Source organism: Homo sapiens, chromosome 9 (assembly GCF_000001405.40).
Source record: "Homo sapiens chromosome 9, GRCh38.p14 Primary Assembly".
NCBI classification, from domain to species: Eukaryota; Metazoa; Chordata; class Mammalia; order Primates; family Hominidae; genus Homo; species Homo sapiens.
In genome coordinates, this window is record NC_000009.12 from 128,607,741 (window position 1) to 128,634,666 (window position 26,926).

Genomic DNA, 26,926 nt, shown 5'->3' on the forward strand with positions numbered 1-26,926 from the left:
TGCTCTGCAGGGCCCTAGAGGCCTCATTCCCACCCTTTGTGGTGAGTCGGTGGTTGACGTCAGAGTGGGCATCTGCTGCCAGTTACCTAATCCCTTCCCTCCTTTTGGCAGGAACACCGGACAGAAATCGATGCCAGGGCTGGCACTTTCCAGGCATTTGAGCAGTTTGGACAGCAGCTGTTGGCTCACGGACACTATGCCAGCCCTGAGATCAAGCAGAAACTTGATATTCTTGACCAGGAGCGTGCAGACCTGGAGAAGGCCTGGGTTCAGCGCAGGATGATGCTGGATCAGTGCCTTGAACTGCAGGTGTGTGTGCTCCTGGTTTCTGACCAAGTGTTTCCTTGCTGAAGGGCCTCATTTTCTCACCTGCCTCTTGCCCTCTTTAGCTGTTCCATCGGGACTGTGAGCAAGCTGAGAACTGGATGGCTGCCCGGGAGGCCTTCTTGAATACCGAAGACAAAGGAGACTCACTGGACAGCGTAGAGGCTCTGATCAAAAAACATGAAGACTTTGACAAAGCGATTAACGTCCAGGTGAGGCCTCTGGACCATGGAGTTGGAGTCTGGATTTTTCCTGATTGACATCTGTTTCTTGGCTTATATAGTCACTGTTATATCTCCAAGGAATACCTGCGTTGTCTAAGAAAAATATGTACATAAATAATCTTTAAAACTTTATAGATTCTGGTATTTCTGAGATTTTAATAATGGGGGTGCCACAGGAAAAAAAAATATTATCAAAGGGATGGAAAACAAATGTGTGGGTAGGTAAGGGAATAATGAACAAACAACAAGGAAGATGTAAAACTGTTTGATTTATACGTCACTTTGCTGTAAATCTGACAGCATTTTCCTATTATCAGGCTTAATTTTGTTCTGTTCTGATATTCTAACACCTGCCCCACCTGAGTGACCTGGAGACTTCTTGAGTTAAACTCTACTCTAGTAATGAATGAAATCAAGCTTTCTTTTGGCATTTTACACTCTTGCTTCTAAAGTGTCAGTGTATTCTGATCCTGCCACCAGCTAGTTCTCAGTCACCCAAAATAACTATCCTTTTCTCAAGACTGGCAGTCCAGGCAGGGCCCAGCCACAGGCCCACCTTGATCTCATGCCTTTGTTTTCTGACAGGAAGAGAAGATTGCTGCTCTGCAGGCCTTTGCCGACCAGCTCATCGCTGCCGGCCATTATGCCAAGGGAGACATTTCTAGCCGGCGCAATGAGGTCTTGGACAGGTGGGTGTCCTGTGGCACTGACATAGTCACCAGCCCTGAGAGGATGCATCCCCTCATACGAAGGCCCAGGCCTGTTCTGTCTCCCCACTTCCTTCTCCACGGTAAGATATGCTCATGTTGGATCTCATGGTTTCACTCTTTCAGGTGGCGACGTCTGAAAGCCCAGATGATTGAGAAAAGGTCAAAGCTAGGAGAATCTCAAACCCTCCAACAGTTCAGCCGGGATGTGGATGAGATTGAGGCTTGGATCAGTGAAAAATTGCAAACAGCGAGTGATGAGTCGTACAAGGATCCCACCAACATCCAGGTAAGCTGAAGTGACTGGGTGTTGGTCTTGATGTAGCCTTATGTTATTGAGTAGATTTTGTTAAATAAAGCATTTATAAAACAATCTCCTTGCACCCATGGGAAGTCAGTGAGAAATATTTCAGTAAGCCCAGCCAGTGGGAAAGCCCTAGTCAAGTTTCAGAGCCATTTAAAAGTTGCCTTCCTCATTTGTCTCCATTAAAACTATTTCTGCTGTAATAAAAGTCTATAGAATCCCCCTTCTATTACTGTTCCCAAATGCTGAGCTTCCTGGGGGAAGTATGACAAAATGAGTTTCTATTTAATAGCTGATATGTGTGTCCACATCAGTGTACTGAACTCTTGTTCTTTTAATCTGTTTTTGTAGCTTTCCAAGCTGCTGGTAAGTTTTTAATTTTTTTAAGAGTTGTAGTTAAATGAGCTCCAGTATTTGTGTTACTCTGCGTAGATTATTGTTATTATTGTGGTCACACGGTTTGCTGGTGTCTCTTCATCCATCCTTTTCATTTCTAATCATCCATTACACTCCATTCAAGTGTCCCTGTGGGATGTGGCTTTTTCTGTTGTAATTAGCCTGCAACGCCTTACTCCCCCTTCTCTCCCCCAGTTTATCACTTAGGCAAATTCTGTACAGTGTTTGATTTGCGGGGCAGTAATTGACCATTTTCTTTCAAGGAGTGCTTCCTTTTGAAGATGGAACATCAGCTTCAGCTTTTTCTGTGTAGACATTGGCTCAGACTTGCTATGAGCTCATGGTGTTCGGTGGCCTGGGTTGGGGAGGCCAGTCTGGTGTGAGGGTTTTAATGCATACCCACTCTGGCATCCAGAGGTGCCAGTCAGGAGAGGAACAGCTAGAGAACTGTAGAGAGACGGATGGTCTATTAATACCTCCAAATCTTCAAGGAACACAAATGAGAAGTTAAGATAAAAGCAGACATCACTCAACAGGTAGTGAAAGGAGACTTCAGTCAACATGTAGCTCAAAGTTACTTAAGCGGGTGGAAGAAATGAAGATAGAGAAGAGAGTAAATGGGATTTGAACCAAAGGGTGATCAGAACAAGGAACAGAAGAAGAGGGTAATGGGACTTTTGTCAGGATATCTGAGTGTTTGAGACCCTTTTCCTTCTTGGCTTTGGGATCAGGCGGTGGGAGAACGTAACAAGGACATTTCATGTTAGTGCTGAATTGAGCCAGATGGCTCCATCCTTTGACAGTTGCTGCCTCTGAAATGAAACATTTGATGCAGAATTCCCCAACACTACTGCCTTTTAGTTGTTTTTTTTTTGCCCCCCAAATAACACTCCCCTGAGACCCTGCATTTCTTACCCAGCCAATTGTTTTTCCCAGAATTGTGGCATAGCTGCTATGTCCTTGCAATTGTCTCTTGTAGCATTTCAGTACCTTCTGTTTCTTTATGGATTCATAAAAACCATATCAGGCGCCCAGGATCAGGAGCCCATCCTTCTCCTAGCCCTTTCATTTCCCAGTAAAATAAATTCCTTCCTGCAGTCAAGCCTGGGTTCTGACAGTATCCCAGTGTTTTGATTAATGACAGCTACCTAAAGATAAATCAACAAAGCCAATGTCTGTAGTAGCTGTAGATTTCTCCTCTGTCAACAGAGGGAAAAGACTGACCATCAAATATTATTTTGCTGGTTATTACAATTTATGTTATGAATTTTGCTTAATGGTGATTTCTGCTTTAGATAATGAAATGTCCATATGTATCTCATTCATTACAGCCTGTCTCCAATAAGGAGAAAGCCATGGATGGAAATTGATGTACAAGCAGATTCAAAACTGAAGTTGGCCATTGCCATCTTCTGGAAAGTGTTAGGAAGTGTGTAATTCTAGGGCTTCACTCCCAAATAGCTAGCATAGCTACTGCAAGAATTGATTTTTTGGCCAGGCTTGGTGGCTCATGCTTGTAATCCCAGAACTTTGGGAGGCCAATGTGGCTCGATTGCTTGAGCTCGGGAGTTCAAGACCAGCCTGGGCAACATGGCGAAACCCCATCTCTACAAAAAATAGAAAAATTAGCTGGGTGTGATGTCATGCACCCATGGTCCCAGCTATTCGGGAGGCTGAGGTAGGAGGATTGCTTGAGCCGAAGAGGTTGAGGCTGCAGTGAGCTGAGATTACGCCACTGCACTCCAGCCTGGGCAACTGAGCAAGACCCTGTCTCAAAAAAAAGGACTTCCAGTTCATCTACTCCTGAGCTAGTACATTTCCTTCCTCCTTTGCTAACTCCCCAAGAGATGAACCCTAAAATATTTCATACAAACTCCAATTGCCTTCTGTTAAAAACGTTGGCATTTACCCCAGTTCTTTATGTTTGCTGCCACTCCCTGCCTCTGAGAACCCCTTCCCCCTGAAAAGACATAACCTAGCAGGAACTGGTTTGGAAAAAATTTTTTTGGTATTTTTAGAGCAAGCACCAGAAGCACCAGGCTTTTGAAGCAGAGCTGCATGCCAACGCTGACCGGATCCGTGGGGTTATCGACATGGGCAACTCCCTCATTGAACGTGGAGCCTGTGCCGGCAGTGAGGATGCTGTCAAGGTATGGCCCACCAGCTCCCGGTGCCCAGGGAGGAAGATGACCACCGTCACTGTCAACCTGATATAATAACTTGGACATACAGTCTTAAGACACTAAATGGATTATAGAAGACTTTAGGCTGAATTACAGATGGGGAATGCTAGTGAGAATGGCTCCTATGAGTGTTTTCCATTCTCTTCTCTTAGAAGTTCTCAAATTGAGCTTTAGGAGAGGGACGATTCTTCATAGATTTCATCTCTTTTTGGCTCCCTTCTGTTCCCCAGGCCCGCCTGGCTGCCTTAGCTGACCAGTGGCAGTTCTTGGTGCAAAAGTCAGCGGAAAAGAGCCAGAAACTGAAAGAAGCCAACAAGCAGCAGAACTTCAACACAGGGATCAAGGACTTTGACTTCTGGCTGTCTGAGGTAACACTGAGTGGTTCCTCTTCCTACCAGTGGGGGATTTCTAGTCATTTGGCACAGTGGGTCCATCAGTGCCCAAAACCACGAAAAGGCAGGGCTCACCAGACACCCCTTTTGACAGAAACCCTTATTATATATGAGTTGCATGCTGTAAGGGATTTATGAGCAAAGGGAGTGAATGTTAAGAGAGCTGACTTGTAGTGGCACTTGGACTACAGGTCACTCACATCCATAGGGAAGGCAAATAGGAAGAGATTATGGGTAGTTATATGGCATGCAGCTCTAACAAGCCTATGCCAGGTTAGAAACCAAGATAGTAGCATCTGGGAAGCCAGAGTCAGTCATGTATTCTCCATGGAGAATGTTTGGAAAGCACAGACTATAAAAACATAGAGGTTTTGGCCAGGTGCAGTGGCTCACGCCTGTAATCCCAACACTTTGGGAGGCCGAGGCAGGCAGATCACTTGAGGTCAGGAGTTCGAGACCAGCCTGACCAACATAGTGAAATCCTGTCTCTACTAAAAATACAAAAATTAGCCAGGCGTGGTGGCACGCTCCTGTAATCCCAGCTACTCAGGAGGCTGAGCAGGAGAATCGCTTGAACCTGGGAGGTGGAGGTTGCAGTGAGCTGGGATCACACCATTGCACTCCAGCCTGGGCAACAGAGCGAGACTTCATCTCAAAAAAAAAAAATTTTTTTTTTTAATAATTGCGTAAGTTTATCATAGAGCCATGCCATAATGTAACCATTCCCATATTGTTGGACATTGAGGTGTTCCCAGCCTTTTGGTGTATATATTTTGCTGTAGTGAATATCTTTGAATATTAATCTTTGTCCACACTGCTGATTCTTTCCTAGGGGGGTTTCCTTGAACTAGGATTGCTGTGCATTTTGCCTTAGCTGTAGTATTTACTATGAATAGACTCTGGAGTCTAGGTTTGACTGACCGAGTGGAGAGAGTGTCTCAGGCCGGGCAGGCTGATTGGGGTGGCTAGGAATCACAGTAACACATTGTGATGGAGAAGTATTCAACTGTCCAAGCAAGGCCCTGGAATAGCCACTGGGCAACCTGAATTTTCCAGAATGCTGAGTATACACCACACAGTAGCCTTTGCTTTTTGTGTTTTCATTGCCAGGTGGAGGCCCTGCTGGCATCCGAAGATTATGGCAAAGACCTAGCTTCTGTGAACAACCTGCTGAAAAAGCATCAACTGCTGGAAGCAGATATATCTGCCCATGAGGTAAGCAAAGGGAGGCGGGCCAGGCCCGAGTGCCTGGGACACAGCTCTGCCTGACTCCTAAGGAAAACAAGCGTGTTTGAGAAAAGAGAGTGACTTCTTTCACTTAAAGCAGCCATTCTCAAAGGTTGTGGCCTCAGGATCATTATACACTTGGCAGTTATTGAGGGCTCTTGAGAGATTTTTATTATGTAGGTTTTATCAATGCTCACCATTATTAAAAATTACATAAATTTTAAGGCCAGGTGCAGTGGCTTACGGCTGTAATCCCAGCACTTTGGGAGGCCCAGACAGGCAGATCTCCTGAGGTCAGGAGTTCGAGACCACTCCGGCCAACGTGGTGAGACCTCCGTCTCTACTAAAAATACAAAAATTAGCCGGGCGTGGTGGTGGCTGCCTGTAATCCCAGGTACTCAGGCGACTGAGGTAGGAGAATCACTTGAGCCCAGGAGGCGGAGGTTGCGGTAAGCCAAGATCGCGCCACGGCACTCCAGCCTAGGCAACAGAGCAAGACTCCATCTCAAAAAAAAAAAAAAATGCTGAATTCAGGTTGTGGTGTTTTGCATTGGATGAAAATTCAGTTTTACACAGGTAGGTAGGTAGAAAAGGGAGGAATATTTTGATTCGGGTAAGTGTGAATAATTTTCTTTGATACTATACCAAAGTCATAGTTTCTTAAAGCTTAGCTGTGGTCAGGTACAGTGGCTCACACCTGTAATCCCAGCACTTTGGGAGGCCGAGGCAGGCAGATCATGTGAGCCCAGGAGTTCAAGACCAGCCTGGGCAACATGATGAGACTCTGTCTGTACAAAAAAATACAAAAATTAGGCTGGGCATGGTGAGTCATGCCTGTAATCGTAGCACTTTGGGAGGCCGAGGCGGGTGGATCGCCTGAGCTCAGGAGTTCGAGACCAGCTTGGGTAACACAGTGAAACCCCGTTTCTACTGAAATACAAAAAATTAGCAGGGCGTGGCATGTGCCTATAAATCCCGGCTACTTGGGAGGCTGAGGCAGGAGAATTGCTTGAGCCCGGGAGGCAGAGGTTGCAGTGAGCCGAGATTGTGTAACTGTATTCCAGCCTGGGCGACAGAATGAGACTACGTCTCAAAAAAAAAACAAAAAAAAAACACAAAAATTAATTAGCCAAACGTTGGGGTATGCACCTATAGTCCCAGTTACTTGGAGGCCGAGGCGGGAGGTTCACTTGAGTCCAGGCAGGAGGTTGAGGCTGCAGTGTGTGTGTCATGATCACACCACCGCACTCTTGGATGACAGAGCAAGGAAAAAAAAGTTGTTGGGGGGTTAGTTGCAAAGTGGCCCCTGAAACCTTGTCAGTAAACTTTTTATACTGGATTATATTAAAACCCACTGGTCCATCTTGGGCTTTGAATGTAGCTCTTACCTGTGCATGATTTTGCAACATCATGCATGGCTCATTTGGTAAATATTGCTTCACTGAGTTATGCCTGTTCTATATGTTGACACATGTGATTATATGATATCAAAACATTGCAGTTAATACCACCACCAATTTCATTAGAAAAATCTTCACATATTAGGAAGCCTTCAGGCTCCTGGTGGTGGGTGTAAGTTTTCTAAAATTCTAACTTTCTCATAAAAGTTTGAATTTTATCATTAGTAACAAACTGTCAGTATTCTTTGAAGTGACAGGCTCACTTTATTTATTCTGGACCGAGTATCTGTGAGATACCAAGTCTGAATGAGCATAGTTTGTTCGGTGGTTGTTCTTTCAAGTACAAAAGAATGGCTACTCAGTAAAATTAACTTTCACTGCCTTTTTAAGGACATTTTTAAGTGAAACAGCATTTTTTTTTCACTGTGAGTGGGTGGCAGTGAAGAATCCACTTCTGCTAGTAGTTTGCCACTGCCTTGATTTGAGCTAAAGCACCAGCATGTCCCCTCCTCCATTGCTTTTGTACTATCAGTGCAAATGTCCACACGGTAAAAAATAATAATGTCTTATAATGTTATGAAAATAGTGTGAGTTGATAGAATGCCAGAGGTCCACATAACAGACTTTGAGAATATCAACACTCCACATCTCAGTAAGGAATTCCTGAGTTCTTATGTTCAAGCAGATAGCTGTGGGAGACCCAGTTTCTGACCCTCTTATGTCCCCTGCCCCAGGATCGCCTGAAGGACCTGAACAGCCAGGCAGACAGCCTGATGACCAGCAGTGCCTTCGACACCTCCCAAGTAAAGGACAAGAGGGACACCATCAACGGGCGCTTCCAGAAGATCAAGAGCATGGCGGCCTCCCGGCGAGCCAAGCTGAATGAATCCCATCGCCTGCACCAGTTCTTCCGGGACATGGATGACGAGGAGTCCTGGATCAAGTATGTCTTCTCAGCCCTCTAGAAGGCCCCTTACGCCTGTAATAGTGGGCAGCAGGAACCACAGGCTGACTGTTGAGTGGTGAGGCTGGAAACCCTGCTGGACTGGGATCCCAGCTTGGGCACACAGTCGTGGGATGCCTCAGTGTCTTCTGCTTTCCGGGTTTACAGTGATGATAATTGGCGGTGGTGGTGATCCATGCTGGCTACATAGGCCCTGTCTAGACCCTGCCTTTTAGATTCCCGTGAAAGTTAGTGAGTTTGTTTCTGAGCTTCTGGAGAAGATCACTTCTCCAAGGAAGGAGTTGCTTTTTTTCTTATTCTCTATCTGTCCCCGAAAATGTCAGTCTACTGATTCCAGTTGATGTGGCAGGTAAACAAACATTTTTTTTTCTGAGATGGAGTCTCGCTCTGTCACCAGGCTAGAATGCCACCATGCCTGGCTAATTTTTGTATTTTTAGTAGAGACAGGGTTTCACTATGTTGGCCAGGCTAGTCTCGAGCTGACCTCACCTGACCTCAAGTGATCCACCCACCTGGGCCTCCCAAAGTGCTGTGATCACAGGCATGAGCCACTGCGCCTGGTCGGAAGGCTTTAAGGAAGTAAGGAATTAAGAGAGAGGATTTTGTTCTTAAAAGACGTTTGTGGCCGGGCGCAGTGGCTCACGCCTGTGATCACAGTACTTTGGGAGGCTGAGGCGGGCAGATCACTTGAGGTCAGGAGTTCGAGACCAGCCTGGCCAACATGGTGAAACCCCGTCTCTACTAAATACACAAAAATTAGCCAGGTGTGGTAGCAGGCGCCTGTGGTCCCAGCTGCTTGTGAGGCTGAGGCAGGATAATCGCTTGAACCAGGGAGGCGGAGGTTGCAATGAGCCAAGATCGCACCACTGTACTCCAGAGCAAGACTCCGTCTCAAAAAAATAAAAAATAAAAATATAAAAATTAGCTGGGCATGGTGGCACGTGCCTGTAATCCCAGCTACTCAGGAGGCTGAGGCAGGAGAATGATTTGAACCTGGGAAGTGGAGATTTCAGTGAGCCAAGATCGTGCCACTGCACTCCATCCTAGGCGACAGAGCAAGACTTTGTCTCAAAAAATATATATATTACTTATATAGCTGGGTGTGGTGGCTCACGCCTATAATCCCAACACTTTGGGAGACCGAGGTGGGCAGATCACTTGAATCCAAGAGTTTGAGACCAGCCTGGGCAACATGGTGAAAACTCATCTCTACCAAAAATAGAAAAAATTAGCCAGGCATAGTGGCGCACACCTGTGGTCCCAGCTACTCCGGAGGCTGAGGTGGGAGGATCACTTGAACCGGAGTGGCGGAGGTTGCAGTAAGCAGAGATCATGCCATTGCACTTTAGCCTGGGCAACAGAATGAGACTCTGTCTCAAAAAAAAAAAAAGTGTGTATATATGTATATATATAAATATCTTTGTATATTTACAGACATATATTGATATATTAATACATATTTAGTATACATGATTGATATATATTGATATAATTTGATAGGGCTCCTCAGGGCAGCACTAGTGATGCCTCCCATCCTCCAGTGCATCCCCAACCCTCCAGAATCCGGACACACAGCAGGGCTCATAGATGCATAGATGGACAGAGGTTCTTGGTCCCTACTCATTTGGGAAGTAGAGGCTTTTGTTGTTCAGAAAACTGGCAAGGATTTTCCCAGAAAGATTAGTAGATGTCTGTGAGGTCCACAGTTGACCTGATGTCCCCACTTGAAAGCAGGGAGGTGCAGAGACTGACTGTGCTGTTTCCCATCTCTCATTCAGGGAGAAGAAGCTGCTGGTGGGCTCAGAGGACTACGGCCGGGACCTAACCGGCGTGCAGAACCTGAGGAAGAAGCACAAGCGGCTGGAAGCAGAACTGGCTGCGCATGAGCCGGCTATTCAGGTAAGGAGGCCGCCTTCTGGCCAAGAGGGCAGAGGTGTTTGAGTGGGCCCCAGGGGACAGACAAACCCCTTGCGCTTATTTCACTGAGGTCCCTAAAGTGTTCATGACCCCTCAGTCCAAACCTGGAGAAGTCCCAAACTTGATGTTGAGGCCTTTTCCTGGGAGCTTCGAGACAGAAGCACCAGAAGAGCTACCTGCTGTTAACCTCCTCGTCCTTGCCTGTCAGGGTGTCCTGGACACTGGCAAGAAGCTGTCCGATGACAACACCATCGGGAAAGAGGAGATCCAGCAGCGGCTGGCGCAGTTTGTGGAGCACTGGAAAGAGCTGAAGCAGCTGGCAGCTGCCCGGTGAGTAGTCAGAGGCAGGAGCTCCCGGGAACAAGTGGAAGGCCAGCACCCAAGGGCAGACTCTGAGCTGTGGGGGTCCAGTGGGCCCTCCTACTGTCTCCTGGACCTTTGGCCTCACATGTGCCATAGTCGGTTTGCTCCAGAGCCACCTCCTACAGGCCATGCTGAGGTGGTCTCATTCTGTTCATCTGGACCCACTGTATGAGTCCAGAATCATACATGTTTCTGTATGAGTCCAGAATCACACATGAATCACACATGAATCACACATGATTCTCCAGAAATCAAGACATGAGAGTCTGGAATCACAGAGTGGGTGATTCATGATGTTCCATGGACGGCCTGACTGACTGTGAGGGCTCACCTTTTTTGTGAATGTTTTTGTTTTTGTTTTTGAGACGGGGTCTTGCTGTCACCCAGGCTGGAGTGCAGTGGCACAATCTCGGCTCACTGCAAGCTCTGCCTCCCAGGTTCACGCCATTCTCCTGCCTCAGCCTCCCGAGTAGCTGGGACTACAGGCACCCGCCACCAAGCCCAGCTAATTTTTTGTATTTTTAGTAGAGACGGGGTTTCACCGTCTTAGCCAGGATGGTCTCGATCTCCTGATCTCGTGATCTGCCCGCCTCGGCCTCCCAAAGTGCTGGGATTGCAGGCATGAGCCACCATGCCCAGCTTTTGTGACTGTTTTTAAGCATATGTTAACTATCACAATCAAAGCTGGAGGAGATTATGGCTGATTTTCTTCCTGTCTCCTGTAATTAGGGGTCAGCGGCTGGAAGAGTCCTTGGAATATCAGCAGTTTGTAGCCAATGTGGAAGAGGAAGAAGCCTGGATCAATGAGAAAATGACCCTGGTGGCCAGCGAAGATTATGGCGACACTCTTGCCGCCATCCAGGTGAGACAGAAACCAAAGGTGTCACCTGCTTTCTCTCTTGGCAACTGCCTGCTGGTCATCATTTCCCTGTTGGTTTGTTAGAGGGCCCTGCTCTTACTAGGAGAGCACACAGGGCCAGCAGCCAAGGCCTCAGTAGTTGGTTTTAGCCCTCAAGATCTCACACTAGGGGACATCACCCTTCAGTAAACAAAATTGGTATGGCTTTGTCAGTCTCAGTTCACGGGCCCTGTCATTCACCAGGCAGCGCTGTGGGCTTGAGTCTTCATATCAGTTTCCTGGGGCTGCCATAAATAAGTACCACAAACGGAGTGGCACGAACGGAGTACCACAGACAGAGTGGCACAGATGGAGTGGCTGAGGACAACAGAGATTTATTGCTTCTCAGTTCTGGAGGCCAGAAGTCTGAAATCAAGAAGCAGGCAGGACCATGTTCTGCAAACCTGTAGGGGAGGATCTTTCCTTGCCTCTTCCAGTTTTTGCTGGCACCAGGCGCCCTTGGCATGTGGCAGCATCACTCCAGTCTCTGCCTGTCTTCACGTAGCCATCTTCCCTCTGAGTCTGTCTTCACTTGGCATCACTCTGTGTGTCTATTCACATTTCTGTGTTCTGTTGTAGGGACATCAGGTCTATTGGATTAGGGTCCACGCTAATGACCTCATCTTACCTTTGCAGAGGACATTTGCAAAGATCTTGTTTCCACATTCATGGGTACCAGAAGTTAGGACTTCACCATCTCTTGAGGGGGACACAGTTCAGCCCATCACATACTCCCTAAATTGGTTAACTGTTGCTACATAACAACCCGCCTAAATGTAGTGGTTGAAAGCAGCACCCATTTCTTACTTCCAATGGATCTGTGGATCAGCGGCATCTGCAGCTGTCACTGGAGGTCCTTCACGCTCCTGCATTCAGGCAGAGCGTGGCTGGGCTGAGAGATCCATCACACACTGGCAGCTGAGCCTGATTGTCATCCAGCCTGGACATCTCTGTTCCCCTCCACATGGCCTGTTGTCCTCAAGCTGGCTAGACCAACCTCCTTCAGCAGCATTCAGACAGGCAAAGGCAGGAGCTGCAAGATGTCTGCGGCCTCACACATCATCCTCACTGCCTTCTGGCCAAAGCAAGTCCCAAGGCAGCCCAGAGGCATAGGTGGATAGATTCCCCTCTGGAAAGGAGATGCTGCAAAGTATCATGGTCAGATATGACTAAATTCCTGCCCCCAGATGTGGAAGCAGGAGTGTGCACTCCCAGGAATCGAGTTAGCTTTGAGCCACCTTCCTCACCATGGGAAGCATCCTCCCGCTGGTCAGGGTGATTCAGGTAGAATTTAGATGGTCAGTCATTTCCCATCCTCTGCATAGTTGAGTTCCCTGGAAGCAACCAAAAAGGCATGGTCTGCAGTGCTTAAATTGTACTAAGGAAAAGACCTGGGGCCAGGTGCGGTGGCTCACACCTGTAATCCCAGCACTTTGGGAGGCCAAGGTGGGCAGATCACCTGAGGTCAGGAGTCCGAGACCAACCTGGCCAACATGGTGAAACCCCGTCTGTACTAAAAACTACAAAAATTAGCTGGGTGTGGTGGTGCACACCTGTAATCCCAGCTACTTGGGAGGCTGAGGCAGGAGAATCGCTTGAACCTGGGAGGCAGAGGTTGCAGTGAGCCAAGATCACGCTGCTGCACTCCAGCCTGGGCAATAGAGCAAGAACTCCGTCTCAAAAAGAAAAAAAAAAGACATGACTTGGAAGGCCTTTTCTGAGATGTGTTCAAGTTAAACCTTAAAAATGTGTCGTTTTTGTTTGGGTGTATATCTTCAGCTTGCTTTGTGTCATTCTTGTGGTCCTCTTGGGGGAGAGACCATAAGTCACTGTTGATGGATGACAAAGGGTTTGACCCTTCCCAAAGGTCCAAAGACTGTCCCTGCTGAAGCCTGTCCCACCACTGCTGGTTACTCTCACTGCCTCACTGCCTCCTGTTTTCCTTCCTTTTATGATTCTCTATTTATTAATGTTCCTCTTTATTATCCTCTTCCCCAGCTAGACTGTAATGTGTGCATGGACAGGGACCATAGCAGTTTTGTCACTCTCTGTCCCCGGGGCCTAGCCCACAACACATAGCAGGCTCTCAATAGTGTGCCTTGGCTGCTTCTACTCCAGGGCTTACTGAAGAAACATGAAGCTTTTGAGACAGACTTCACCGTCCACAAGGATCGCGTGAATGATGTCTGCACCAATGGACAAGACCTCATTAAGAAGGTGAGTCCAGCCCATTGGTAAGACCTCCATCGCCCACTGGGACACCCACGTGTTGGTACCACAGAGGTCCCCCAAAGTTCACTTCCTGGGATGTTCACCAAACCAAGGTCTGCGTGGAGACCAGCAGCAATTCCATTCCTGTGTTTCGTGACAAGTTGGATATTTCCCCCTTTTTGAAGCCAGTAAAGTTATTCTGCAGTGCTTATTTTTTCTGCATTAAGCAACAGAGACACTGGCACTCCCAAATGCTGCTCTTAGTTTATTTCTCAAGCAATACAGTCTCTTTATAGGGACAGTAGAAAATGCAAATAAGCAAAACATAAAATAAAAATTACCCATAAAGCCCCACCCTGACACCACACATTAGATCTTTGTGTCTGACCTGCCAGACCTTTCTTTTCTCTCCACAGGTTTAGAGCTACCAGCTAGATCAAACAGCCGCAGACTCCCGTTTAATAGGATCATATCACTCCATAAATTATCAAAAACCTCGAGGCTGTACAGGGCATTTTAGAAATGAATCTACTTCATTCGCAGCCCTTTTGGGAGAAAAAATAAAGGGGCTTGGTGCTTTCTCAGCAGCAGCGAAGCCACATCCCTCCCACACAGAAGCTCTAGACTGAAGGCAGTGTGTCCGTGGGTCGGGAATTCACCAGCAATCACTCAGGTGCAGTGACGCACCTGGAGTGCCTCAGGACAGAGGTTTTAACAGCTATGGTTTCCTGTCACACACACATCATGAGTAAGATTTCTCATCACAGAGGTTGCACTCAGCAGTCATGGCCTTCAGACTAGGGTTTGATCCATAGGCAGCAACAATGTAGCTAAAATCCACTTCACTGGAGAGCTTTTCTTCCTTGCTCTGATCTGCAAATAAACTTGCGTGAAACTAATTTCAGCTACAGCCATGTATAGATGTAGACGTGGCTCCTGCACACTTAACCCCCTGACACACACCCAGACAACATTCTCTGTTCTTCAAGCCAGGAGATCACCAGTGTGAGTGTCCTTCAGCCTCCTGGCAACGAGCCAGCTGCTTTTTTTTTTTTTTTTTTTTTTTGCGACGGAGTTTCGCTCTTGTTGCCCAGGCTGGAGTGCAGGGGTGTGATCTGGGCTCACCGCAACCTCCACCTCCCAGGTTGAAACGATGCTTCTGCCTCAGCCTCCCTAGTAGCTGGGATTACAGGCATGTGCCACTATGCCCGGCTAATTTTGTATTGTTAGTAGAGATGGGGTTTCTCCATGTTGGTCAGGCTGGTCTCGAACTCCTGACCTCAGGTGATCCGCCCTCCTCGGCCTCCCAAAGTGCTGGGATTACAGGCATGAGCCACCACCCCCGGCCAGCGAGCCGGCTGCTTTGTCCTCAGCGACAGCCTGTTTCCTCTTTGAATTTATCTTTCAATTCTTTTTTCTTTTTATTTTCCCCCTTTCCACAGGTGTTAAAGAATTTCTCTTTAAATTCAATGTGACTTGTAGTATGGTTTATTTATTTATTTATTTATTTATTTATTTTTTAGACGGAGTCTCACTCTGTGGCCCAGGCTGGAGTGCACTGGCGCAATCTCACCTCACTGCCACCGCCACCTCCTGGGTTCAAGTGACTCTCCTGCCTCAGCCTCCTGAGTAGCTGGGGTTACAGGCGCCTGCCACCACGCCCAGCTAATTTTTGTATTTTTATTAGAGATGGGGTTTCACCATGTTGGTTAGGCTGGTCTCAAACTCCTGACCTCATGATCCGCCTGCCTCGGCCTCCCAAAGTGCTGGGATTACAGGCGTGAGCTACTGTACCCAGCCAATTTTTTTATTTTTATTTTTTGAGATGGAGTCTTGCTCTTGTCGCCCAGGCTGGAGTGTAGTGGCACGATCTCGGCTCACTGTAGCCTCTGCCTCCCGGGTTTCAGCAGTTCTCCCACCTGAGCTTCCCTAGCTAGCTGGGACCACAGGTGGGTGTCAACACACCTGGCTAATTTCTTTCTTTTTTTCTTTTTTTTTTTTAAGAGATGGGGTCTCACTATGTTATGTTGCCCAGGCTGGTCTCCAACTCCTGGGCTCAAGTGATTCTCTCGCCTTGTGCTGAAATTACAGGAGTGAGCCACTGCACCCAGCCCTGTATGTGTAGTATTTTAAGTGATATGATTCAGTTTTTTTCTATCAAAAATAATACTAATGAATATATCATCTTAACTTCAAATTTCAGCCCATTCGTTTTTTTTGTTTGAGACAGAGTCTTGCTGTGTTGCCCAGGCTGGGGTGCAGTGGCATGATCTCGGCTCACTGCAGCCTCCACCTCCCAGGTTCAAGCAGTTCTCATCCCTCAGCCTCCTGGGTCACTGGGATTACAGATGAGTGCCACCAAACCTGGCTAATTTTTTTTTTTTTTTTTTTTTTGTATTTTTTAGAAGAGACAGGGTTTCACCATATTAGCCAAGCTGGTCTTGAACCCCTGGCCTCAAATGATCTGCCCACCTCAGCCTCCCAGAGTGCTAGGATTACAGGCGTTAGCCACTGCGCCTGGCCCATATTTCTTTAGAATTAATTCCTTGGACCGGCTGGGCACTATGGCTCACACCTGTAATCCCAGCACTTTGGGAAGCCGAGGTGGGCAAATCACCTGAGGTCAGGAGTTCGAGACCAGCCTGACCAACATGGTGAAACCCCCATCTCTACTAAAAATAATTAGCTGTGCATGGTGGTGTTCGCCTATTAGTCCCAGCTACTCGGGAGGCTGAGGCAGGAGAATCTCTTGAACCCGGGAGGCGGAGGTTGCAGTGAGCCGAGATCACGCCACTGCATTCCAGCCTGGGCGACGGAGTGAAATTCACTCCGTCTCAAAAAAAAAAAAAAAAAAAAAAAAAAGAATTCCTAAAAGTAGAATTGTCAGTACGTGTATTTGTGTGAAGCCTTTGACCGCATTGCTCTTACAAAAGCCTTACCCTATCATTGTTTACCCAGCAGTGGACAGGGGAGCAAGTGGCCCATTTTATAGAAGTTTAGAGCCTTTCCAGGGAGGGCATAGTCAGGTAACCACAGCAGGTAAGGCTGACCAGTGTGTGCCTCTCTCCATGGCCTAGAACAATCACCATGAGGAGAACATCTCTTCAAAGATGAAGGGCCTGAACGGGAAAGTGTCAGACCTGGAGAAAGCTGCAGCCCAGAGAAAGGCGAAGCTGGATGAGAACTCGGCCTTCCTTCAGTTCAACTGGAAGGCGGACGTGGTGGAGTCCTGGATCGGTGAGCACTGTCAGCAAGGCCCGGAAGAGCCTTCCCAGAGCTGCTCTTTGTCTCCTTCCGTGTCATTGGTTTTCTTCTGCAGAGAAGAAACTGATCAATTGTGGGCATGGCAGAGAACCTACTACCAGGGCAGACCACTGACTGCCAGCTAGGAGGAGACAGTGTCCTGAGGCCAGAACTGCCACCCGGAACTGGGCTGGCACCAGGGTCAATAAACAAAAGCCTGTAAACGCTGCTGCACGCAGAGATGGCATAATGTGACGTCATGGCATGAACAAAGTTGGCACAGCAAAGGCACCACTAGCTGCCCTGGTCAGGGGCGCCACCCAGCTCCTGGGTGAGGGAAAACTGGGTCCGGATATCGGGGTCCACGTGTCCTGGGTAGTAGTAATAGCAACTGAACTAGAAGACGGGCTGCAGGGAGCTCGTCATGGCACAGATGGAGGCCAGGCCTGGGTGCAGGGAGGGGCCTGCTAATGTGGGTTCTGAGGCTGTAGTTAGGAAGATTGGGATTTATCTGTACACAAAAAATGGTTTGTCTGGGTTTTGATGTTTTTCCTTTCTAATCCATCTCCACTGAGGAGGGCAGTATATTTTCCACACTTCGTTTTCTAGGTGAAAAGGAGAACAGCTTGAAGACAGATGATTATGGCCGAGACCTGTCTTCTGTGCAGACGCTCCTCACCAAACAGGTCTGCCCTGGCCCCTTCACTGGTTGAAATGTATGCAGATAGCATCTGTGAGATGACTGGTGGCGTCTTTCACTGAGGCATTTATCTTCTGTTAGCCCCTGGGGATCAGCAGGAAAAAGATCCTGTCCTGGTCCTCAGGGAGCTTCCAGACTAACTGGGGAAGCAGACACAGAACCAGGCATCTCTGCAGCAGCCTGCTGGGTGCTGACGGGACTGGGCACTGCAGGAGCACTCACTCAGTTTTCAGCAGGCGAGGGTTGAAGGGGCAAGTTCTCCTAAGCGAAATCATGAGGGGTGAATGAAAACGGTCAGGGAGAGAGGCAGGGCGAGTGTTCTGGGCAGAGCTGGCAGGGATCCCTGGGGCGGGAGAGCGGAAGGCTGGGGTCAGGGAGGTGGGAGGAGGCTGCCGCAGTGATCTGCGGTCTGAAGGAGAGCAGGAAAGGGGGCATGTGTGACTGAGTCTCAGCAGTGTCCAGGTGGACAGTTTGGCTTGGGCATCTGGGGGACATGCTGGTGCCATCTGAGCCTAGGAAGAGCAAGTTCCAGTCCTGTGGAGTCACCACAAATTGGCTTGTCACTCCTTGTTCAGGAAACTTTTGACGCTGGGCTGCAGGCCTTCCAGCAGGAAGGCATTGCCAACATCACTGCCCTCAAAGATCAGCTTCTCGCCGCCAAACACGTTCAGTCCAAGGCCATCGAGGCCCGGCACGCCTCCCTCATGAAGAGGTGGAGCCAGCTTCTGGCCAACTCAGCCGCCCGCAAGAAGAAGCTTCTGGAGGCTCAGAGTCACTTCCGCAAGGTGAGGATGGGGCCACGTGAAGCTTAGCTGGCCCACAGCTCAAGGAAGGACGCCCACCTTCTGTCTGCCCAGCTCTGCCACTCCCCCTTGAGGAAGCTGTGAGCTCAGTGCAGAGCTTTCAAACATGGGTGTGGCTGGCATCAATTAAAACCAGGGCAAATGAGAGGGCCCTGTGAGATCGCCATTCAGAAGCACGCAGGACAGACTAGAGACAAGGGCAAAGGGTAGGAAGGGGAAAAAAGGCTGGTGAAGACTTGAAGGGGGAGCAGGAGACAGGAGCAGAGGGGAGCTAAGCTCCCAGCAGGCTGTGTGCGCCTCTGATTCCCAGGAACCACCCCGCACCCCACCTCCTGCACTGCGTCGGCACGTCCAGCCCTGGCGACTCCGCCAACTCAGTCTCTTCTGCTTCCAGGTGGAGGACCTCTTCCTGACCTTCGCCAAAAAGGCTTCTGCCTTCAACAGCTGGTTTGAAAATGCAGAGGAGGACTTAACAGACCCCGTGCGCTGCAACTCCTTGGAAGAAATCAAAGCTTTGCGCGAGGCCCACGACGCCTTCCGCTCCTCCCTCAGCTCTGCCCAGGCTGACTTCAACCAGCTGGCCGAGCTGGACCGCCAGATCAAGAGCTTCCGCGTAGCCTCCAACCCCTACACCTGGTTTACCATGGAGGCCCTGGAGGAGACCTGGAGGAACCTACAGAAAATCATCAAGGTACACCTCCCGCTGCCCTCAGGAGCTGCTCGGCCTCCCAGAGCCCTCTCTGGGCCCTGCTCAGAGCCCACACTTAACTGAGTCACGACAAGACGAGCAGGATGGAGGAGCATGGTTTCATCAGAAGTTTCATTTCTTTTTGTGTTCTTGAGGCAGGGTCTCTGTCACCCAGGCTTCAGTGCAGTGGTGCTACCATGGCTCCCTGTAGCCTCAACCTCCCAGGCTCAGGTGATCCTCTTGCCTGAGCCTCTTGAATAACTGGGACTACAAGCACGTGCCACCACGCCTGGCTAATTATTTTAATTTTTGTAGACAGGGTGTTGCTATGTTGCCCAGGCTGGTCTTCAACTCCTGGCCTCAAGCAGTCCTCCTGCCCAGGCCTCCCAAAGTGCTGGGATTACAGGTGTGAGCCACTGTACCCAGCCAGAAGTTTCCATTTCTGACAGTCCAGCAACTCCCTGCTTGACTGACCAGTCGCTTCCCTCCAGGTCCGCCTCTTCCTTGAAGCCCCTGGGGGGTGGGAACAGAGAAAGAACTACCAAGTGCTCTGAGCCGGCCTCATGTCTCCCAGCCTCCTCCTCTCATCTTTGGGGAGGTTCCTTGTGGGGAGGCCACCACCACCCTGAGCCCATCTGTGAAGGAGGGGCTGGTGTCACTGCCACAGCAGCGCACAGCATCTGCCCCCCTTTGGCCCTCAGGAGAGGGAGCTGGAGCTGCAGAAGGAACAGCGGCGGCAGGAGGAGAACGACAAGCTGCGCCAGGAGTTTGCCCAGCACGCCAACGCCTTCCACCAGTGGATCCAAGAGACCAGGTGCCAGCCCGCTGGGGCCGGGGAGCAGCAGCATGTCCCTGCTGTACTTAAGCCCTGGGGAGCTTCCAGCCCCAAGGAGGTGGTGGTGCTTTGTGTAAAACCAGAGGCAGCCTGGGAATAAAGCTGGGCTGGCAACGCCTGGTCGGGCTCTGGAGCCGGGAGTGGGGGCATAGGTGGAGCAGCCTCTCAGTGCTGCATGTCCCAGACATCAAGTTGTTAGAGATCCCGGATTGAGTGGGACCATGCAGGGCGCGTGGTCAGCCCCAGCCATGACTTGGTGACAGACGATGCAGGGTCTGTGCGTTGGGTACTGATGTTCTTGCTTTTGTTTTCCTTTCTTTCTTGTGTCTTCTCTCTGTCCCCCCGATTGCTGCTGTTGTCCGGACACCACCTTGTCTCCCGGCTGCTTGGATCTGCTCTCCACAGGACATACCTCCTCGATGGGTTAATATTGTTTTCTTCCTTCTCTGGGCTTGTCATGTGGGGGTCTCGTGCGCTTGCCCCTCGTGGCCTGGCTTGTGGAGGATCCCGGGATGGGCCTTCCTGCCCAGGGCGGGCTGCACTTCCCCTCCCACCCTTCTCGTCACCTGATGAGGAGTGTGTGCCTTGCCCCATAGCCCATGGTCCCTGGTCCCCGATAGAGCCTTCAAGCCAGGGGGAGCCGTCCTTGCCTCACTGGGCGATTCCAAGGGCTCACTTTGGGTAGGGAAGGTGATGAAGCACGAAGGCCAGAGCTGGAGTCCAGAGGCCCTAAGAACCCCCGTGCCTGTCCAGCCACCGGGCTCTGTTGGGCTCTCACCTCTGCTTCCCCAGCGAGTCCAACAGTGGTCAGTGGGCATGAAGCAGATGGCAGTGCTGGGGGCTCAGGCAGGGTACAGTAAGTCCACAGCTGAGAAGGGCTGGGCACTGACACCCCCTAAGTAGCTGAGGCTGCCACTTTACTTTCCTGGGGTCAGGGAGGGTAACAAGACTGTCCGCCCTAATAGAAGGCAAAAATGCACCCGTTATGTGATAGACAGGACGTGGGAGGAGCCCCAGGGAGGAGCAGGGCTGGGCTGTCCCGCCCAGTCCCGGCAGGGACTTCTCTGCTTGGCCTGGGGCCTCTGCCTGGCCGGGTCACCTTTGTAATCTGCCAAGCCTGCTGTGAAAGCCAGGGCTGCTGGGACTGGAGTGGCTTGGCCTGCACTCCTGAGGCTCTGCACCCAGGCACATCAAGCCTGTATAGGCGGCCAGGGGAGAAATAGACCCATCCAGCCGGGCCACACATTCTGATGGCAGAGCAGCTGGGGACGTAGGGATCGCAGTTTCCGGCCTGTGCCCGTAGGACACCCTGGCCACCTGACTCCCCTCCCTGCCCCATGCCTGTGTCTGCTGGTCTTGCTCTTGTCTCCGTGAGGTGCCACGCTCCCCTCACCTTATGGCTCCTCCCAAGCCCTGCCCATCTTGCCCATTCCTAGTGTGAGCTGCCTGGGGTGAACCACTGGGCCTGCTGCCTCCAGGTACCCGCCGGGCACCAGGTTGCCCTTGCCTGCGCCCTGCCAGCTTGGGCTTTGTGTGTGTCTGTTGCAGTGTGCTCTTGCCTCCCCTCCCTTTGGTGTATTCATTTGGTTTCTTTTCTTTGAATAGCATAGCATATCGTCGGGTCATTCGTGTCTATCAGTATGAAGTTGGGGATGATCTGTCTGGAAGGTTTTTCTCCTTATTTCTCTTCTTACCTCACTGTGGCTTTACTGATGCACTCTTGACATCCCCAGGCGGCTCCACCCTGACTAACCTGCCGCCCTCGGCTGCTTGGGAAGGAGGGGTCTGTCCTCCCACTGCACCGGCACCCAGCCTCCTGCCCCCAGGTCCTGGGGGGCATTTTCCCCGGGGGGACATGGCGTGACTGTGAGTCTGACCTGCTGGGGTAGGAGGAAGCCTGGTGCCTTGCCTTGCTAGAGCACTTTGAACCTGGGGAGATTGCAGAGCTAACCCTGGCTCGCCGGGTTTTAAAAGGGTAGGTTGGGGTGAATGTGGGTACAGGGGAGCCTGGGCTAAAACCCCACCAAGGCCACACGCACCGTGTGATTCGTCCCTGCACGTAACCCTAACTCGTTTGTTGTCTTTGTTTACTGGTAGCCTCTGTGACCTGGCACTGTGTTCTCTTGGGAAGGAGGCTCCCCAGAGCCCATCTGCTCTCAGAACTTGGTCCTAGAGAGGAGGCTCCCTCCCTGGCTGTGTCTAGAGGATGGAACCGGGATCTGGGGTTTAGTCACAGCCATCTCTCTCCTTTTGGCACAGTTGGTCGTGATCTCCCAGCACTCCACTTGTGTCCTTTGTCTGCAGGGTCGTGCTCTCATTCCCCCTAGAATGGGGCTCCCTCCCTCAGGAACCTTGCCGGGACACTCCAGGGTTTCTGTGGGGAGGCTGTCAGGTTCTCAGCCTCCCCTCTGCCCTGAGGTCTCCTGTCTGTCAGGTGTCAGGGTGTGCCATCCCCCACATGGCTGCAGAGAGGATGCTCAGACAGGCCTGCAGCCACCCTGCACCCATGGGGGAATTTAAACTCCATTCCTGAGTCATCCTGGCCTTGGGAGCAAGACGAGTGGGCTCAGCCCTGGCCCACACCAAGGCAGCAGCTTCCCATCTCTAAAACGGGAGAAATGCTCCCTGCCATCCCTCGATCCCTGGGGCCCATTAGGTAAAGATGGCCAGTTGCAGTTAGGTTTGGTTTCCTTAAAAGGAATGTGAGGTTGCCAGGCATTGCTCTCTCTGAGAGAAGGTTCATTCTGAGCTCTCGGCCAGCTGGGAGCAGGCCCCTTTCCTCACTGTCCTTCCACGTTTAGGTCCTGTATGGTGGAAGAGTCGGGGACCCTCGAATCCCAGCTTGAAGCTACCAAAGTAAGTGCCCGTGGGGCTCTGGCCCAGCAGAGACCCTTCACCCAGCCACCCCCCAGGGTACCCCTTCCCTTCCTGGCTTAAAGTCAGGAACCAGATGTGCTATTATTGTACCCTTTTCCCTTGGCCTAAAGCAGTCTAGGGCTCTTCACTATCTCTCTCTCTTTTCTTTCTTTCTTCATGGAATCTCTCTCTCGCCCAGGCTGGAGTGCAGTGGTGCGATATTGGCTCACTGCAACCTCCACCTCCCAGGTCAAGCAATTCTCCTGCCTCAGCCTCCCAAATAGCTGTACTACAGATGTGTGCCACCACATTTGGCTAATTTTTGTTTATTTTTAATTATCTTTTGAGATGGAGTTTCACTCTTGTTGCCCAGGCTGGAGTGCAATGGACGTGGTCTTGGCTCACTGCAACCTCCACCTCCTGGGTTCAAGTGATCCTCCTGCCTCAACCTCCCAAGTAGCTGGGATTACAGGCGCCCACCACCACACCTGGGTAATTTTTGTATTTTTAGTAGAGACAGGGTTTCACCATGTTGGCCAGGCAGGCTGGTCTCGAACTCCTGACCTCGGCTGATCTGCCCGCCTCGGCCTCCCAAAGTGCTGGGATTACAAGCGTGAGCCACCACATCTGGCCTAGTTTTTATATTTTTAGTAGAGACAGTGTTTTGCCTTGTTGGCCAGGCCGGTCTGGAACTCCTGATCTCCAGTGATCTGTCCACCTCAGCCTCCCAAAGTGCTGGGATTACAAGCATGAGCCACCACTCCCGGCCGAGGGCTCTTCACTTTAAAGAAAGTCTTTGGGGCTGGGTGTGGTGACTTACACCTGTAATCCCAGCACTTTGGGAAGCCGAGGCGGGTGGATTGCTTGAAGTCAGGAGTTCGAGACCAGCCTGGCCAACATGGGGAAACCCCATCTCTACTAAAAATACAAAATATTAGCTGGGTGTGGTGGCAGGCACCTGTAATCCCAGCTACTCAGGAGGCTGAGGCAGGAGAATCACTTGATTCTGGGATGCGGAGGTTGCAGTGACCCGAGATCAGGCCATTGCACTCCAGCCTGGGTGACAAGAGCAAAACTCCCTCTGAAAAAAATTACTTGGGCATGGTGGCCTACACCTGCTCAAAGTCCAGCATGGGCAATATATAGCAAGACCTTGTCTTAAAAATAAGGCTGGGTGCAGTGGCTCATGCCTATAATCCCAGAACTTTGGGAGGCCAAGACAGGCAGATCACTTGAGCCTAGGAATTCAAGACCAGCCTGGTCAATGCAGTGAAACATCGCCTCTACTAAAAATACAAAAATTAGGCAGGTGTGGTGATGGGCACCTGTTAGTTCCAGCTACTCAGGAGATTGAGGCAGGAGAATCACTTGAACCCGGGAGGTTGCAGTGAGCGTGATTGCGCCACTGCACTCTAGCCTAGGCGACAGTGAGACTCCATCTCAAAAAAATTTATAAAAATCTTTGGCCACTGCTTCCTGGAGTCCTCGCCGTACTTGTCCTTGGCGTGCACTGCCCTCTGGCAGGTCTACCAGCTGCTTTGGAACCCTCACATTGAAAGTCTCTCCCTCTATTGAGGTGGTTGGGATTTCTTCAGCTTCACCCCATCCCACTATTCCTATTCTAGAATGTTCTTGTTTTACGAGGTCTCAGGCCAGGCCTGGAGCAGGAACCAGAGGGCAGTAAGTGGCTCCTGGGCTGGTGACTGAGCTGAGGGCCCCCGTCTGAGCATCTGTGCTCCCCACCCCTGCAGCGCAAGCACCAGGAAATCCGAGCCATGAGAAGTCAGCTCAAAAAGATCGAGGACCTGGGGGCCGCCATGGAGGAGGCCCTCATCCTGGACAACAAGTACACGGAGCACAGCACCGTGGGCCTCGCCCAGCAGTGGGACCAGCTGGACCAGCTGGGCATGCGCATGCAGCACAACCTGGAGCAGCAGATCCAGGCCAGGTACCCGGGAGGGCTGTGGGCCAGGCTCAGCCCAGAGCAGGGGGAGGAAAAGACACAGTCACCTGCTGTGTGGAGGGTCTGTTCCCTAATTTCTGTTTTTCTTCCAGGAACACAACAGGTGTGACTGAGGAGGCCCTCAAAGAATTCAGCATGATGTTTAAGTGAGTTCAGCCTTACTCGCCCTGGCTGGGTGGGGGGTGTTCGGCAGCAGGGCTGCCTGCTGAGCCGCCCTCGGCTTTGTGCTGCAGACACTTTGACAAGGACAAGTCTGGCAGGCTGAACCATCAGGAGTTCAAATCTTGCCTGCGCTCCCTGGGCTATGACCTGCCCATGGTGGAGGAAGGGGAACCTGACCCTGAGTTCGAGGCAATCCTGGACACGGTGGATCCGAACAGGTAAATTAATTAAGGCCAGGTGCTGTGAGCCTCTGCCCGGGGCACCCACCTGCCCTCCCTGCTCAGGCTCTTGCTTCCCCCGCTCCTAGAGATGGCCATGTCTCCTTGCAAGAATACATGGCTTTCATGATCAGCCGCGAAACTGAGAACGTCAAGTCCAGCGAGGAGATTGAGAGCGCCTTCCGGGCCCTCAGCTCAGAGGGAAAGCCTTACGTGACCAAGGAGGAGCTCTACCAGGTATGGGCCTCAGGAGGTGGGTGAAGAGGTGTCCTTTGGAAAACTAAAGCCAAATTTGTGGCAGAGCTGAGTCTGGGGTAACAGGCCCTGCGCTGGGTATTCTCCCCATTTACAAATCAAACTCAGTATGGACAGAAGTCCCGGATCTGCTTGTAGAAGCAGCTCCGAGCCCCCAGCATCCTGAGACCTGGGAGGTCGGGTTTGAAGTGGGTGCAGCTGGCTCAGGCACCAGGTGCCATCTCTTACCCCACAGAACCTGACCCGGGAACAAGCCGACTACTGCGTCTCCCACATGAAGCCCTACGTGGACGGCAAGGGCCGCGAGCTCCCCACCGCGTTCGACTACGTGGAGTTCACCCGCTCGCTTTTCGTGAACTGAGCCACTCCCTGGGTCACCCACCCCTCGCTGCTTGCCCTGCGTCGCCTTGCTGCATGTCCGCTCCTCTGTGTGCTCTCACTTTCCACTGTAACCTTAAGCCTGCTTAGCTTGGAATAAGACTTAGGAGAAAATGGTGCTTCACTAACCCGCTTCCGGTCCAGTCACAATCATCATGTCACTGTGGGGACCCAGATCTGTGTCTTGAAGCAGCTGCCCTCATTCCGACTTCAGAAAATCGAAGCAGCTGGCTCCTCCCCTTGTTCTCTCTCCCACCCTCCCCCAAATCTGTTTTCATGTAAAAGACAAATAAATGATGACTTCCCCCAAAGCTTTGCTTTTCTTCATTTGGCTTGCGTCAGAAACACAAGGCTCGGCACAGCGAAGGCTTGCACCCGCCTCCCGGGACCCCTCAGGCCGCCACCTCTGCTGCCAGGCAGTCCAGGTCCTCAGCTTCCCGGGGCCCTTGTTCCGTGAACTCTGTGCTCAGCTGCCACACCTTCACTGTGCCCTGGGCATCGCCCGCAGCCAAGAGCTGAGTCTGCTGGCTGTTGAACTCCAGACAGTAGACAGGGCTTTCATCCTGGGTTTGCTTGATCAAAACTGTGGGTTTCTGGGAGCTTTTCTGGAGATCAAACAGCTGCACGTCACCTGCAAAGAGAGACAGATACGTGGAGTAAGAGAAACTCTAGAGACCAACCACATGGCAGGAGGAGGCTAATGCCCGGGTTCAATCCTGTTGTGTGCAGCCACAGTGGCTTTGAGTTGGGTTGCTGGAGGGAAGCCGTCCTTACCCCCATGTGTGGTCTTTTCCCCAACCCAGAACCCCAGGTACAAGCAGGGCCCAGACCACCCACCCCTTAAACAGATCCAGGCCTAGCGGCCCCTTCCTACCTTTCCCAGAGGCAGCTGCAAAAACCAAGGGCCGCACTGGGGACCAGCGCACAGCAAACAGATACTTGAGGGAGAGCTGCAGCGAAGTCAAGGGAGGGGCCTGCAGCATGGAGTACAGGTGGACATGCCCGTCAGTCCCAGCGCTCAGGAAGAGATTCCTAGACGGGATGCAGGGGGCCAGGCAAGGGAATCAGTGCTGGGGTCTGGGTGGTGCTGGCCCCCAACACCAGACCCCTCCTGGGCTGCCAGGCTCGTGAAGAGCCTCCCGGGTCCCTCAGCCTGGAGTTGGTCCTCTCATTAGAGAAGGGACGATGCCTGGGCCAACCACCAAAGACCTGAACACGGGTCTCAGAGTGGGCAGAAGGCAAGCACTTGAAGCAGTTTGTCATGAGGCTTGGCAGGCTAGAGACCCGCAGGGCAGGGACACCCTGGCCCCACTGT

General features: G+C 51.0%; 2 protein-coding genes across 32 annotated transcripts in view, besides 1 other annotated feature; one reads left to right on the plus strand and one right to left on the minus strand.

Annotated features, from left to right (window-relative positions):
* SPTAN1 (spectrin alpha, non-erythrocytic 1) overlaps nt 1-25,922 on the plus strand; it is an 81,076-nt gene extending 55,154 nt beyond the window's left edge. For 7 of the 29 annotated variants that reach the window (NM_001375312.2, NM_001375311.2, NM_001375314.2 and 4 more), the window contains 25 exons: nt 112-309; nt 390-536; nt 1,134-1,237; nt 1,382-1,544; nt 1,911-1,925; nt 3,974-4,105; nt 4,369-4,506; nt 5,641-5,745; nt 7,892-8,100; nt 9,900-10,020; nt 10,247-10,368; nt 11,131-11,263; nt 13,418-13,516; nt 16,588-16,747; nt 17,363-17,439; nt 18,029-18,238; nt 18,651-18,947; nt 19,646-19,758; nt 20,185-20,202; nt 22,581-22,635; nt 24,387-24,583; nt 24,691-24,744; nt 24,832-24,978; nt 25,068-25,215; nt 25,469-25,922. In NM_001375312.2, coding sequence (NP_001362241.2) covers nt 112-309; nt 390-536; nt 1,134-1,237; nt 1,382-1,544; nt 1,911-1,925; nt 3,974-4,105; nt 4,369-4,506; nt 5,641-5,745; nt 7,892-8,100; nt 9,900-10,020; nt 10,247-10,368; nt 11,131-11,263; nt 13,418-13,516; nt 16,588-16,747; nt 17,363-17,439; nt 18,029-18,238; nt 18,651-18,947; nt 19,646-19,758; nt 20,185-20,202; nt 22,581-22,635; nt 24,387-24,583; nt 24,691-24,744; nt 24,832-24,978; nt 25,068-25,215; nt 25,469-25,594 — 3,288 coding nt within the window. In that variant the 3' untranslated portion in view covers nt 25,595-25,922. Of the gene's footprint in view, nt 1-111; nt 310-389; nt 537-1,133; nt 1,238-1,381; nt 1,545-1,910; nt 1,926-3,973; nt 4,106-4,368; nt 4,507-5,640; nt 5,746-7,891; nt 8,101-9,899; nt 10,021-10,246; nt 10,369-11,130; nt 11,264-13,417; nt 13,517-16,587; nt 16,748-17,362; nt 17,440-18,028; nt 18,239-18,650; nt 18,948-19,263; nt 19,351-19,645; nt 19,759-20,184; nt 20,203-21,384; nt 21,448-22,580; nt 22,636-24,386; nt 24,584-24,690; nt 24,745-24,831; nt 24,979-25,067; nt 25,216-25,468 lie in introns of all 29 variants that reach the window. The other 22 variants (NM_001375318.1, XM_047423783.1, XM_047423786.1 and 19 more) reach the window with 6 other exon arrangements.
* Nucleotides 19,282-19,927: an enhancer, noted in NCBI's record as "H3K4me1 hESC enhancer chr9:131389301-131389946 (GRCh37/hg19 assembly coordinates)". NCBI's record gives its function as "activates a minimal SCP1, AML or CMV promoter by ChIP-STARR-seq in naive H9 embryonic stem cells {active_cell/tissue: H9 hESC(naive)}" and the evidence as "EXISTENCE:reporter gene assay evidence [ECO:0000049][PMID:30033119]".
* Nucleotides 25,913-26,926, minus strand: part of DYNC2I2 (dynein 2 intermediate chain 2) — a 50,808-nt gene continuing 49,794 nt past the window's right edge. For all 3 annotated transcript variants that reach the window (XM_011519179.3, XM_047424057.1, NM_052844.4), the window contains 2 exons: nt 26,486-26,643; nt 25,913-26,242 (listed from right to left, as the gene is read on the minus strand). In XM_011519179.3, coding sequence (XP_011517481.1) covers nt 26,004-26,242; nt 26,486-26,643 — 397 coding nt within the window. In that variant the 3' untranslated portion in view covers nt 25,913-26,003. The remainder of the gene's footprint in view (nt 26,243-26,485; nt 26,644-26,926) is intronic.